Source organism: Homo sapiens, chromosome 1 (genome assembly GCF_000001405.40).
Source record: "Homo sapiens chromosome 1, GRCh38.p14 Primary Assembly".
Lineage (NCBI taxonomy): Eukaryota > Metazoa > Chordata > Mammalia > Primates > Hominidae > Homo > Homo sapiens.
The window spans coordinates 175339712-175353636 of NC_000001.11; the positions used below are offsets into that span (position 1 = coordinate 175339712).

General features: G+C 39.5%; 1 protein-coding gene across 2 annotated transcripts in view; it reads right to left on the reverse strand.

The window, feature by feature from the left end:
* The window catches only part of TNR (tenascin R), a 428402-nt gene that overhangs the window by 24518 nt on the left and 389959 nt on the right, over nt 1-13925 (reverse strand). The gene's annotated exons all lie outside the window — the stretch shown is intronic.

A 13925-nucleotide genomic window follows, 5' to 3' on the forward strand; every position in this document is an offset into this window, starting at 1 on the left:
TTTCTTCATGCAATAAACTCAGCTTCTTGAAGGAGCCAGAACCCCAAATTTCTTTCCAATATCCAATGTATCCCCAACAAAACATCTCCCCACAAATCTCAAAATGACAGTCTCATACAAATACACATATAAATCTAAACATCAGAATGGGGAAACAAACGATCTCATGCAGGCTTCTTCATATTGATAATGTAGATTGATTTAATATTTATATTACAGATACTTTTTAAAGGCTCAAACATATTAGTTGCTTTAAAGCTAGACCTACAGACAAATACAGTAAACTGAGATGACTTAGACAAGGGGAGTTTTGAATACCTGAATGGCTATCATATAAAATAGTGATTCATTTTTTAAAGTTAGAAAAATAAGAATAAAATTATCTTAAGAAAAAAGTGTTTTCTAAGGGGTGCCAAACACTGGATGGGATAAACGTCCCAGATTACACCCTGGGAGAGGAAGGACCATGCTTTCTTCCTTCCAGGCCGGCAATGAGCTGGTTGGTGGGGTGGCGGGGGGCGGGTACTCCCCAGATGTGCATGAGGCAATGATGCATCGTTGCTGGGTGCGCTTGCCTTCCCTTTGACAAATTGCAAGGCCATTTGGTTGTTTATAGATTCCATTTGCTGTGATTTAGTCAGTGGCATTAATGTAAAGACAACAAGCATTTTGCTCACACAGACTATCAAGAGCAGCAACCTGGGATTTTCACATCTTCGGAACTTGGAGAAGACCTCACATTTACAGCAAAACCATTCCTTTTCAACCTGCTTCAGCCTGCAACTCTAGTCCTTGTCCAAAATATTATTCCTTTTTTTGCAGACAAGAGAAGGCAGAGGCTCACTAATGGTTCTCAGACTGGGACCTTATTAAAATTCAGATTCCTGGTTTCCATAGCAGATTCACTGAATCAGAATATCAGGGGATGGCGCAGGGAATCAGTGTTTTACTGAAGCTTCTCAGACAAGTCTGAAGACCAGCTAGATTTGAACCTTCTCTTTGTCTGGCACATTTTCCTCTTCTCTAGAGGCCAAGAAGTGGAATTGGTAAACTAAGCAATGCCTCAGAGGAGCCCTGTGGTCTGTGTTCTCTGCCCAGATCCTTGTGGCTGTGTGGATGAATACTGTAGATTGAATGTCTGTCTCTCTCTCCCACTTGCCCCCTTTCCTCCTCTTTCCCTCTCCCCCTCTTTCCCTTTCCCAGTAGGTATGTCTTGAGTGGGCTGGTTCCAAGAATTGGATTGAGTGCGATAGGAAGGAGAGGGGATAAGAGATTGCATTTAGCCTGGAGTCTAAGCTTTGTGTCCTAGTATTTATTGTTTTGTTCTGCTTTGGGGGTTATTGGACTTTGCTTAGCTAATAATAAAGAACACACTGGTTCCTGTTCTGCTGTATTCAATGTGAACGTACTGGGGCTTTATACATTTTAGGAGACTGTCAGGGCAAATTTCAGGCCCTCCTAGCTCTCTGGATGTCACACCATTTAATATTATCAGAAACTCGCCTCTGACCCCAACATATATCAGCTCAGTAATTTTTCCCAAAGCAAAATCTTAAGACCAAGAGCAAAACTGGAAGGTTTTTCTTCCTTTTGGTGCAATAACTGGAGCCTAGACCGATGGAGAATCTTTTAATTTTTATTTTTTTTAGCACAGGCTGTGGTGATTACTAAGTTAAGAGAAAAGCCACAACAAGTGCTTGGTACACTGAAATGTCTCATAGTTAAGTGTTTCTAGATGTAATTGTGAGATCAACGGGACCATGGCGTTCACCAGAAGAATTGCTCTGAAATTGGTTTGTTTTGGGAAGTGGAGGCTGAATGCTGAGTGGAGTGGAGCAAGCTACATGACACGCAGTGCAGTCAGGGGACCACCACTGCTGGGACAGACTTTCTCTGTCCTGGCCCTGCTCTTTACTTGTTTTGGATTCTTGGGTGTTCCTTTAAAATGATCAGCTTTAATGGCCCTGGCAAGTGTCTGTCCACTTTTCTGGCCTCAGCATCAGGACTGAAGCCACAATGTCAGCATTTGTCTCTGAAAACAGCCTCAGCAGGTTTCTCTGTAAGCGCAGAACACAGTGTTGCGCCATAGAAGTGCAGGCGGCCACCTCTGGTTATCAACACTTAGATTTGCTTTTTCCCAGAAGCTTGTTTGTGGTTGACTCTCCCTTGTTAGAATCAATGGCGCACATCTGCAGAGTAGCTGGCTAGACTGTCAGGGGCAGCCTAAGTCTGCCAACAGGACAAGGTTACCTGCTCAGCCCACATGGGGTGAGCCACTTGGCTTTCTCACAGCGTCTTCCAGTATATTTACCTGTTTATACTCTTACTAATTCAACAAATATATAACAGAGTGTCTGTTGGGTTCTAAATACTGGGCTAAAAGATGGGAATATAAAGAAGGAAAAGACACAGTCACAACCTTTCAGGCTGCTCATGCTGTGGTGGGAGAAACAAATATAACCTTGAGCTCTAAGTGCTCTGGGAAAGAGATAAACATTGTGGGCTGGCAAAACCTGGATGTGGGCGTGCAATGATGCCTGGCTGGCAAGGACAGGGTGAGAAGTGGGGGCCCGGGATAGGGCAAAGGGTGACAACTGCTAATCAGAAAGTTACTTTAGGAACTGACCTGGATGCTGGCCACAAATTGGTGGAGAAGGGTGTTCCAGACCTGTGCAAAAGTACGGCCCCTTTGAGAAGTTGAAGGTTTAGCAGGAGACAGAGCAAGAATTGGGTGGGATGGAGGAAAGAGAGTGCTGGGGAGGTAAGCAGGGATGGGATCATGTCATTTATGGAGGCAATTGGAGGAAGAGTCTTTTGGTGGACTTTAAGCTCAACTTGTTAGAAAGACCATTCTCAGTGCAATGTGGAGAATGAATTAGATGGGGGTGAGCCTGGAGGCAGGACTCCATTCAGGATGTAGTGGTGGGAACCCAGGAGGAGAGTGACAATAGCCTTTAAGGAGGTAATAGAGTGAGTGGAGAATTAACTGAACAAGACAGCTTTGATGTGTTCACCCTCAACAGAGTTCCGGAAGAAGGTCATCAGGCTCTGCAGACCACCTGCCTTCTGCCCAAGGGCAAGTGCAACAGACATCTAAGACATCTAAATCCTCCCTTCACAGGTCAGCTAAAGGCATCCTAGTACTAGAGGAATGTTCTGACATCATTTCTCTTATTATTCCTTTGATCCACTTATATCAGAAGACCCAATTTCATGGCAGATTAGATTGATCACAGACTGGCAGTTGCAGCCTGGCCCCTGTCTGTGGCTCTTGATTCAACATGGCAAGGGAGGGCTGGGTCCTGATGACACTTCCTACTGGTCTCCCTGCTGCCATTCTGGTCCCACCTGCATTCATTCTCCACACTTTAGCCAGAGTGACCTTTTTATAGTGTGAATGTGATCTGATTTCATCCTATCTTTTACTTGCCCAAAACCCTTCAATGGCTTCTTTATTGCAATTAGAATAAAATCCAGAATCCCTACCATGGCCTACAAAGCCCTGTACGCTCCGTCTCTGTCCTGCACTCCTCCCCACTTTCACTATTCTTCAGCCTCATTAGCTTTCTTGTAACAGATGGAAAAGGCCAAACTTACTCCTCCCTCAGGGTGTAGTAATTACTCGTCCCTAGGCCTGGAATGCTCTTCTTTGTGGATTCACTCTCATTATTCAAGTCTTGGCTCACAGGTCTCAGGTAAAGAGACACCTGTTCTGACGACCCTAGTTGAGACCAGGGTCTGGGATCGGTGGAGGAAGTGGCAAGTGATAATCAAGAAAGACTTCCTACTATAGGTGCTGTCCTAGAAGTCAGCTCTTTACACTGTCCCTATTCCATTACTCTGTTTATTTATTTACTTAGCTTTTGGTCAATTCCCACTGCCTCATCCCCTTGAATGTAAGTTCCATGACAGTATAATCATCTGGCTCTTACCTTATTCATCACTCAGCACTTAGAACAGTGTCTGACCCAAAGTAGGTGCTCAATCAGTATTTGTTAAATGTATGATGCCATGTGAGCACTATATCCTATCCCTCCCCTATGGTTATGAAAAGGAAAATTAAAATTAGATTTTCTGAAAACATTTGGGACAACACAATTTAAAATAGGCCAGAGCAAGTTCTGTATATAGTAATATGTAAGGTCCTGCTGTAACATTCACAATGTCACCTTCAACCCATGGTGTTACTGGAAGGCAGGCCTCGAGTACAAGATGTCCAGGTTTTTGGCGTTTTTGAACAACGAATTGGACAAAATGCACAAACAAAGTAACACAGGAATGAAACGCAGGAATGAAGCAGAGAAAGCAGGGATTTATTAAAGCAAGAAAGCACTCCACAAGGTGAGAGTGCACCTGGGCAAGTGGCTCAAGGGCCTGCTTACAAAGTTTCCTGGGTTTTAAGTACTCCTTTTGAGATCTCTATCGGCTACCCCTTATCTGAATGAAGGCTTTGGTTTGTGGCTAACTAAAGGCTGGGGTGAATTGAATGCAGACGAAGGGATGGCCGGTGCTTAGGGTGGCCAATCCAGGACACTTTCCCTTTCCATCTGAGATGTGGTGGATGGCGGGGAGTTGTAGGGAGAGCAGGCTTTGAACCTTTGTTACTAGGCATGGGGAGATGGGGTTTTTTCTTTTGGTTTAACTTTAGGAAGTTGACACTAATTGGCCTTAGGGTTCCTGCCTTCATACCCAGGTATTTTCCTTTTGATCCAGCTTTGGGAAGTCAGCACGAATTGGTCTTAGATTCCCTGCCTCCAGACCCTATTCTCCTGCCTCAATAGTAGGTTGTATTATTGCTTGGCAAGATTCACTGCCTCCCTGTGGGGGATCACATGTCCCTGTCCTATTGAATAGTACAAACAATTCTATGGAAATCAATTCAGTAACTTAGATGACATGGACCAATTTCTTGAAAATCACCACATCCCCAAAGTTGTGCAAGATAAAATGAAAAGATAACCTGAATAGGATGAAACTATTTTTAAAAATTGAATTTGTGCTTAAAATCTCTAGAAAAAGAATTTCCAGGCCTAGGTATCTTCACTGTGAATTCTACCAAGAATTTAAAGAATAAAAATCATCAATTTTATATACTCTTTTCCAGGAAATAGAACAAGAGGGAACATTGCGCAACTCATTCATTGCAGCCAGCATTAGTCTGATAAAAAAACAAAAACAGAACCAAAAACAAACAAGACCAGCCTTGCCAACATGGTGAAACCCTGTCTCTACTAAAAATACAAAAAGTTAGCTGGGCGTAGTGGCGGGTGCCTGTAATCCCAGCTATCCGGGAGGCTGAGGCAGGAGAATCTCTTGAACCCGGGAGACGGAGGTTGCAGTGAGCCGAGATCAAGCCACTGCACTCCAGCCCAGGTGACAGAGTGAGACTCTGTCAAAAAAACAAACAAAACAAAACAAAACAACAACAAAAAAACCCCACAAAACCAAACAGCACCAAAAAAAGAGAGAGGAAGGCTTGGAAGAAAGTTTTGAAAAAGTCTGTTTTGCTTGTCTTTCATATTGCCATGGAGTAATCACTGCCAATCCTTCACATGTCTGTGGCCTTTTTCTAATACCTGCATTACCAAGCAGAGGAGCCGATAACCCCAAAGGGACACGAGCTCACAGGCCAGAATATCCATTCACTGAAGAGTAAGACTACTGTGAAAGAAAGACCACAACCATTATGAGATTGATCATCTGGTACAGAATTATTAGAACAGAATTTAAATTAAGCACAATAACTTTATTTAAGGAGGTAAGTAAATTAACAATATAAAAAAGGATTTTTTAAAAATCAAATAAATAAAAATTAATATATTAACAGTTTAAAGTAAGAATACAGCAGATAGGGTGAATAAGGGATTTAAATAAGCTAAAGAGTAAGCAAGTGAGTTGGAAGTTCTGATTAAAGAACTCTTTGAGAACATAAAAAGTAAGAATAAAGAGGAAGAAAACATTTAAAAAGCTAAGGTATTTGGAGGATAGACTATGTATTTCAACATCTAGCTAACAAAAGTCCTGAAAAGAAAAATAAAAGAGGAGAAAGTGCTTAAATAAAAATAAAGATAAATGTCTCAGAATTAAAGATAAAACAGATCAGATTTAAAGAGTGTATAGAGTGTGAAACTGGAGATAAAAACATAAATGAACTTCAAGACATATAATGAAGTGTAAGAGTTGCAAAAATAAAAGAAATATTGTTTTTAAAGCTTCTAGAAAGAAAAAGCAGATCACCTACAAAAGAACAGGAACCGGATTAACATTCGACTTCTCAATGGCAACACTGCATTTGAGAAGATAATGGAATAGTATTTTTAAATATGATGGGAACAAATATTTTTAGGTAGTATTTGATATCTGATTAAATTACAATTTCAATGTATGAAAAAAACCACAAAAGTTCCTTGGGCATATGAAATTACGGAAGGTTTGCCTTACAAAATCCATTACTGAAAATTTAGAGAACACAAATAAGAGTGACAAGTTCTAGAGATGTGAAAAGTAAGAATGATTAACTACTTGGAAAAACTTTATTTATATTGTCTTAAATAAAAGGCTATAATTAACAGAGAGAAAAGAGAAAGCCTATCCATAAGAATCCAGAGCCAAAACCTAGACAGAGCTTGTTTGTGGGGAGGTGAAGCGGGTAGGGAGGAAAGAGTCTAGTGGGATTTGAGAGGGTGCTCAAGTACTTGGATTGTTACACAAAGATGCCATATTGACACATTTAAGAAAGGAGGAGGGATAAACAAACAGGACTATGTATCTGAAATCTAAAGTCTGGTTCTTTGAAAATATTAATAAAAGAAATATATCACTAGGAAGACTGAGAAGTAAAGACAGAATATGAAAAAAAATAAAATGAAAAAGGGAAAATAGCTACAGATGCAGTAGAGATAATAAAACAATGAAAAGTCTTTTGAAGAATTTTATGCTACTAAATTCTGGAAATCAGATGAAATGAATATATTTCCAAAAATTTATAAAGGGTCAAAACTGGTACAAGAAGAAAGCAAGAGCATGGATGGATAATTATTTTAAAAAACTTAGACGTGGTAGTCAAATGTTTCCTATTCCAAAAACAAAGAAACGAAAAGACACAAACAAAACAATAACAATGTGCCCAGGTGGTTTTAGTGAGGAGTTCTGTCCTGAACAAGTTATTCCACAAAAGAAAAAAAAAAAAAAGAAGCAAAAAAGAAAAAAGAGTGAAAGATGAAGCTGTCTAGCTTTTTTTGTTTCTTTTTAGAGTGAGATTAGTGAACATGGATTTCAAAACCCAATAAAGAGGTATACACAAGAAAAAAATATACAGGTCAGTTTCATTTATGACTGTAGATGTGAAAAGTCTAAACGGATGGTAGCTAACCATATATAACAGTGCATTAACAAATCATATTCAGGAGAGATTTCTCTAAGGATTGTAATTAATATATCGAGAAAGAAGCTATTAATATAACTCACCTCATTAGTATACTAACTGATAAAAGTCATATAATAAATTAAATAGGTATTATAAAAACCATTTGATAAAGTTTAACAACAAAGCTTATTACAAAAACTCTTAACTTAGAAGAAAATTCTATACCTTGATAAATGTTTTAAACCTCAAATCTAAACAAACACTATTTGTGTTTATTCAAGATTAGCCAATTATATATTTTCTTTATTTTAGAAAAAATTAAATAGGCTTTTTTGTTTGTTTGTTTTATTATTTATTTATTTATTTTTGAGACAGGGTCTTGCTCTGTTGCTCAGGTTGGAGTGCAGTGGTGTCATCTCGGCTCACAGCAGCCTCCGCCTCCCAGGGTCAAGCGATTCTCCTGTCTCAGCCTCCTGAGTAGCTGGAATTATAGGTGTGCACCACCATGCCCAGCTAACTTATGTATTTTTAGTAGAGATGGGGTTTCATCATGTTGCCCAGGCTGTTTTCGACCACCTGACCTCAAGTGATCCGCCTGCTTCCAAAGTGCTGGGATTACAGGTGTGAGCCACTGCGCCTGGCCTAAATAGTTTTTTTTTTAATTTAAATTTACATTTTAATTTTTATCTAAAGGAAGTTTAAAAAGGAAGATTTAGCAAAGATTATGCAACATGATAATGCTTTAGTTGCATTCCTTTTGCGAATGCAACTAAAGTCAATGTACCTAATATTACTGTCACTATTTATCATAGTTCAGGAGGTCCTAGGTAATGTGATAAGAAAAGAAAAATAAATAAGAGGTATAAGAATTAGAAGTATAGAAATAAAATTGCCATTATTTGTAGATGACATAAAACATTTACCTAAAAAAATTAACGGAAACAATAGATACTTAGAATCAATAAGAGAGTTCAGCAGGATTGCTAGATACTGGATTGATATAAAAAATTAATGGTATTTTTCTACATTGGTAATAACCAACTAGAAAATATATATTTTTAAGTTAGACAAAAATTATCAGCAATACAAAATGAAATGTTCAGAAATTAGCCAAGAACATATAGAATGTTTGTTATGAATATAAAGGAAAAACTTACAACTCTATTAAAAAATAAGGATGATTTGAACAAAGGAAGATGCATTATAGGCCTTCAGAAGGGATGACTGTAGTATTACAAAGATGTCAGTTCTCCCCAAATTAATTTATAAATTCATTGTCATTTCAATCTAAATTCAAGTTAAAATTTTTGAGGGGGGGACTTGATAAACTTGATAAACTAAACTTGTTAAACTAAGATGCCTTTGGAAAAATAAAGGTCACCAATTAGGTAAGTCAACCTCGAAATGAAAACTAAGGAAAACTGTTTTACCATATATTAATGTATTAAGTTATAGCTATAAAAGCACAATGTGGTATTTATGGAATACCATATGGAAAAACAGATCTGAGAGTAGAATAGGGAGTTCAGAGGTCAAACAGAGATCCATGTACATATGGGAACTTAATATACAATGAGGCACCACAAACCAATACAGAACAGATGGATTATTTAATAAATGATGTTAGGAGAACTGGTTCACTATAGAAAGAAAAATGAAACTGTATCCTCAACTAATACCAGTATAAAATAGGCTAAATATAGAGAAATAAATCTAGAAAGTTAATAGCGGAACATATTGAAGAAAACCTTTTGGCTGAAAAGCAAAGAAAGACTTCTTAAGAAAGGTTTCAAAAGCTCAAATAATAATAGCTAATATTTAGTACAGGAACCCGGTGGAAAATTGACAAACTATATGAGCAGGAAATTTAGAGGAAAATAACACTCAAAGGACTAAAAAACATATGAAGAGATGTTTAAACTCAAACTAATGATTAAAGACATTCAACTAGAAAAATGAGATATAAATTATCTCTATGAGATTATCAAAAATGACAAAGCCAGGCCATGTCAAGGCATTTGGAATGATGCATGTCGTTAGGAAATAGGAGCTTCTGTGCACTGTTGGAGGGAGTGTAGACTAGTACAGCCATGTGGGAGGGCAGTACATGGTTAAACTATGTAAACACATCCCCTATGACCCAGCAATTCCTCTTCTGGGCATATATTCCAGAAGGCATTACCTTAGTGATCCATAAGTGGACATGTACAAAGTATTTACTGCAGCACCATTTGTGGTGGTGGGAGGTTGGAGACAATCTGATGTCCATTTTTGGGAGAATGGAGAGGTAAAATAAGATGGGTGCCCACCATGCAGTATTTTGCAACAATTAGAAGCAAAAGACTATATAGATGCATGACAACACGGATGGGTCTGAAAAACAGTGCTGAGCAAAAACTATGAGAATAGGGAATGAATTATGTAACCCAATACCGCTTACATATATTTAAAATATTTATACTCAAAGTAATTTTACAAGAACACATTTTTCAAAAATACATACAAACAAAAGGACACAAATTTAATGTATCAAATGCCTGCCTATGGAAGGTGGAAGAAGAGAAGAGGGTAAAAGGAAATAAATGAGTAAAAACAGACTGGGACCTTGCTGGAGATTGACATGGGTGGTATGTGAAAAACTGTGCAGTGTGATTAATTGAAACCTCTGATCTGACACCTATCCTTCTATTAATTTTGGACATGCATGGAAATGGTTTGTTCAAATGGGATAATTAGTGCCCTACCTCCTTCTCCACAGCCAGGTCCCAAAGAAAGAAGGTAGACTTCTCCTTTTAGGGGTTTGTTTGTCTTATAATAAAGCAAGAACTCAAGCTGTTTCTAAATAGTGGAGCAGAGAGAAGCCCTATCACCTCTGCACTTTGGTGAAAAGGATTTGTGGCATATCTGAGGATAGATAGCCGTGGATAGTGATCATGAGGCTTTCCTTTCTAACTAGAATATCTATCTGATAAGTATGTGAATTTCCATGATCTGCCATCTATTGTTCCAGAGTGTGGTGTTTGCCAATCTTCATTAATTTTCACAACCTCAAAAGCTGAAGCTTGTGTTAGAGTAGACTCCAAAGTTTTCTTAAAAAGCCCCACAGAACAGCTCAGCCTGGATGTGGAAGGGCAGGGACAGGAGCAAAGGTAATAAAAGAAAACTTCTTATTATCCATCTCTGGGTACCTCTGCAAATGATTGTCTTTACTTAACCTCAAGGTCAAGACAACCTATTTTATAGTGCTCACTGTCTCTTAGGACAAGCTTTAGTGAGAACCTTGTTTGCTTTTTATAGTATTAAAAGAGACAATGAAACTGCCTCTCAGACAATCATTTCACCAAGTCCTGGCTGCTCTGTGGGGAATATTTGTTTCCTCATTTATATTCATATCTCTAAAAGACAAGTAGACCTTGGATGAAATTTCAGGCGACAGTAAATTATAAATAATGTATCCATATTTTTTCTCTTCCATACTACTTGTACTTAATTCCCTCCAGAGTCTTGTGCAAACACCAGAGACAAGAGGACAGGAAGCTATTAACATGAAGGAAAGAATGAAATGGACTTATGTTATGTGGCAGAAACACAACAAGGGAAGACATCTTGATCAAAGGAGGTTTTTGAGGGTTTGTGAGTGCCAGTTCTTTTCTTTTCTTCTCTTTTTTAGTTTTATTATTACTTTTTGACATCTTAACTCTTTTCCAGGCCATCAGGTAGGCATCTTGCTTACAATGAACCTCTTATGGTCCACTTGGGACAAGGTGAGGGTTTATCCGTGGATAAAGGCAACTTTGGGCCAAACTTTAAGCTCTCTTGTTCCATCAGAGAAGGCATAGAAAACACTCAGAATGATGAGCTGAGATCAACCCATCCTAAGAGTAGGATACTGCTAAGTGGGAAAGTCAGGTACTGTCAATGAAGTTGGAAAGGATGCTAATTGCTAAAAAGAAATTAGCCTCTAAATCCATTAGCCCTGGCTTGCGATCACCTGGGAGGCTTCCAGTGTTTCTCAGACTTCTTGCTCAGCAAGAGTAATTCATGTCTGTGGGGTCCTGACTGGCAGCACTCCAGTCTTGCATATAAGTGAAGATACACTGCTCTTCAATTTTGCTTTTCCTTATTGGTAATGTCCCCAATCCCACCTCACCAAGTTTGTAAGCTGATACCCTTGTATTCTTTTCCTCCTTAATAAAATTTGCTCTTGGGCAGGGGTAGAAAACTTTGGGGTAGAGAGGTGGCACAGGCAACGAGAGCTCATTAATATTACCATGCAAATGACTATGTAGCCTAGTGGAATTTATTCAGGGAAATTTGCATTGAGGTGGCTGACAGAGCCTGAAATTAGAGGGAATTTGGGCATCACATCATACTCTTGAAGGTTATACCTCTTTGCCTGTCTTATCCCTACAAGGGGTATTAAAAATCGCCTTAGGCTTTATTTTATCAGAGACCCCTCTTCTGTGCTCTGCAGCTGAGATTTGACTATTCAATTTAACCAGTGTCTATTATGTCTGGTATGTGCCAGGCTTTGTGCAAGATACTTTCACATGCATTATTTCTGCCCAAGAATCTTTCATTCTGCAACCAGTCATTTCAGTGGGTTCTGATAAATCTCCAAGACAAAGCCAGCAGAGTTTGGTATACATGAGTGACTTACATTTAAATTTGAGCTTTCCAGTAAAACTGCGAAAGCTTCCAAACACAGACATATCTTTGCCATGTACCACAGAAGTAATAATACAAACTCTACATGGAACAGCTCAGTCAGTAGCTACACTCACCGCATAGGAAATTGGGCTCTTCTGTTTTCCCCTTTCTGAGCTGGTATTGGTCATGCCCCAAGAGCCTGGTGTCAACTGGAGTCTTGTAAACACAAACAAACAACCTAAATACATCCTGATAGTCCCCTGCACTGTCCACCAAATGAAGCCATTATTCTGCCTCCTCTCCAGATTTCCATGTGTGTTGTTAATCTTCTGCTTATTTGATCCTACTGAGGCCCCAGGTGGATTTGGGATCCCAGATCCAAAAAACTGTACACTGCTTGGCGCAGCTGCATCTAAGAGAGGGCAGTGAGGGGCACAGAAGCTGGTTTGCTTTTACAGCCCAGGTGGGTCTGGAGTGAGGCACAGCTGTAAGATGCCACAGAGACTTGAGGCACATTGTCATACTGCTCACAACTGCTAGCTGTGGCATCATCAGTGTGGGAATTAAAAGCCCATACTACACTGAGCAAACATTGAAACCCATGCATTTTGGGGATAAAATGATTAATTTAGACCTAATAAATATGCAAATTGGGAGCTCAGTTTAAGTGTCTGTCATCTGTGTCCTTTTTATAGAAAAGAAATTCTTAATTCAATGGAAAGCTCCAACCCGTGGGTCTTTAAGTGGTAGCGTGGAAAAGAGGACCATGGAGCCCTCTTTAATTAACCTGCGAATGTGCAGGGAAGGGCTTAACAAGAAGAGGGTAGCACCTTAGTTCTGAGATCAGACACCTTTGCAAGAGCATGGAGGGGGAGCATAATTGACTCCAGCCCCATAAAAGAGATCAAGTGTCTTCTAAGTTCCACTTGGTAAAGATACATCTTGGATTCATGTCTGTTTGTGTACCCAAGGTTTATTTTTATTTTTTAATTAAAACACTTGTTTCTCTGATTAATGTGCTCATTTAAGATACTTTGTGATGTATTGAAAAGTGTAAAAAAAGAAGGGAGAAGAGGACTCGTTCACAATCTCCGCACTCTATAGAACCACTGGGGATATTTTGTCATATCTGATCAGTGTCTTGCTTTGTCATTTAGAACGAGTGCAGTGGGGGAGACACCTGGTGGGGCTGGGGGACTTTCTCTCACCTCTCTGGGGATGGAGGAAGAGGCTCTGAGGCATGGACGGGAATCCAGTCATTCTGGTGCTCTGACATGGCAGGCAGGATGTGGCTGAGTATATGGGACATGCTCAGGTTTGCCTCACATGTATGCACCCACACCCCCATAATGTGGGCCAGGGAGAGAATTCAAAGTCGGGGCTGGGCAGCCTTACATTATGGACTGTAGAGAGGCACAGTGGGAGGTGGTAGAGAGAAACATTAGTAACACAGACCCCAGAGCTGAAACATCTGGCGTCAAATTCCAGCTCCCTTACTTAAGAGCTATGGGATCTTGGGTGAGTTACCTCACCTCTCTGTGGCCCAATTTCCTCATTTGTAAAAAATAGAGATGATAGTGCATACCACATAGGCTGTTGTGAGGATTACATTAGGTAATACATGTAATGCAGTTAAACAGTACTTGGCAAGTAACTCTCAAAAGTCAGATATTAGGTTATTTCCTGTTATAGAGATTAGGAATTTTTTTTATCCTTTAGCAGCGTTTTTCAAGTATCTTCTGCTGACTTAAGGAGGGAAGGCAGCCGGAACAGCTGCATTTAGAAGTAGAAGACCTGGGTTCAAGGTCTGACTCAGCTATTTACTAGCCATGTAAGTCTTTGGTTTCTGTGCCCCTTGGTTTCATCACCTGTGGAATGGGGATCATAGGCCTTCCTGACCAGTTGTTAT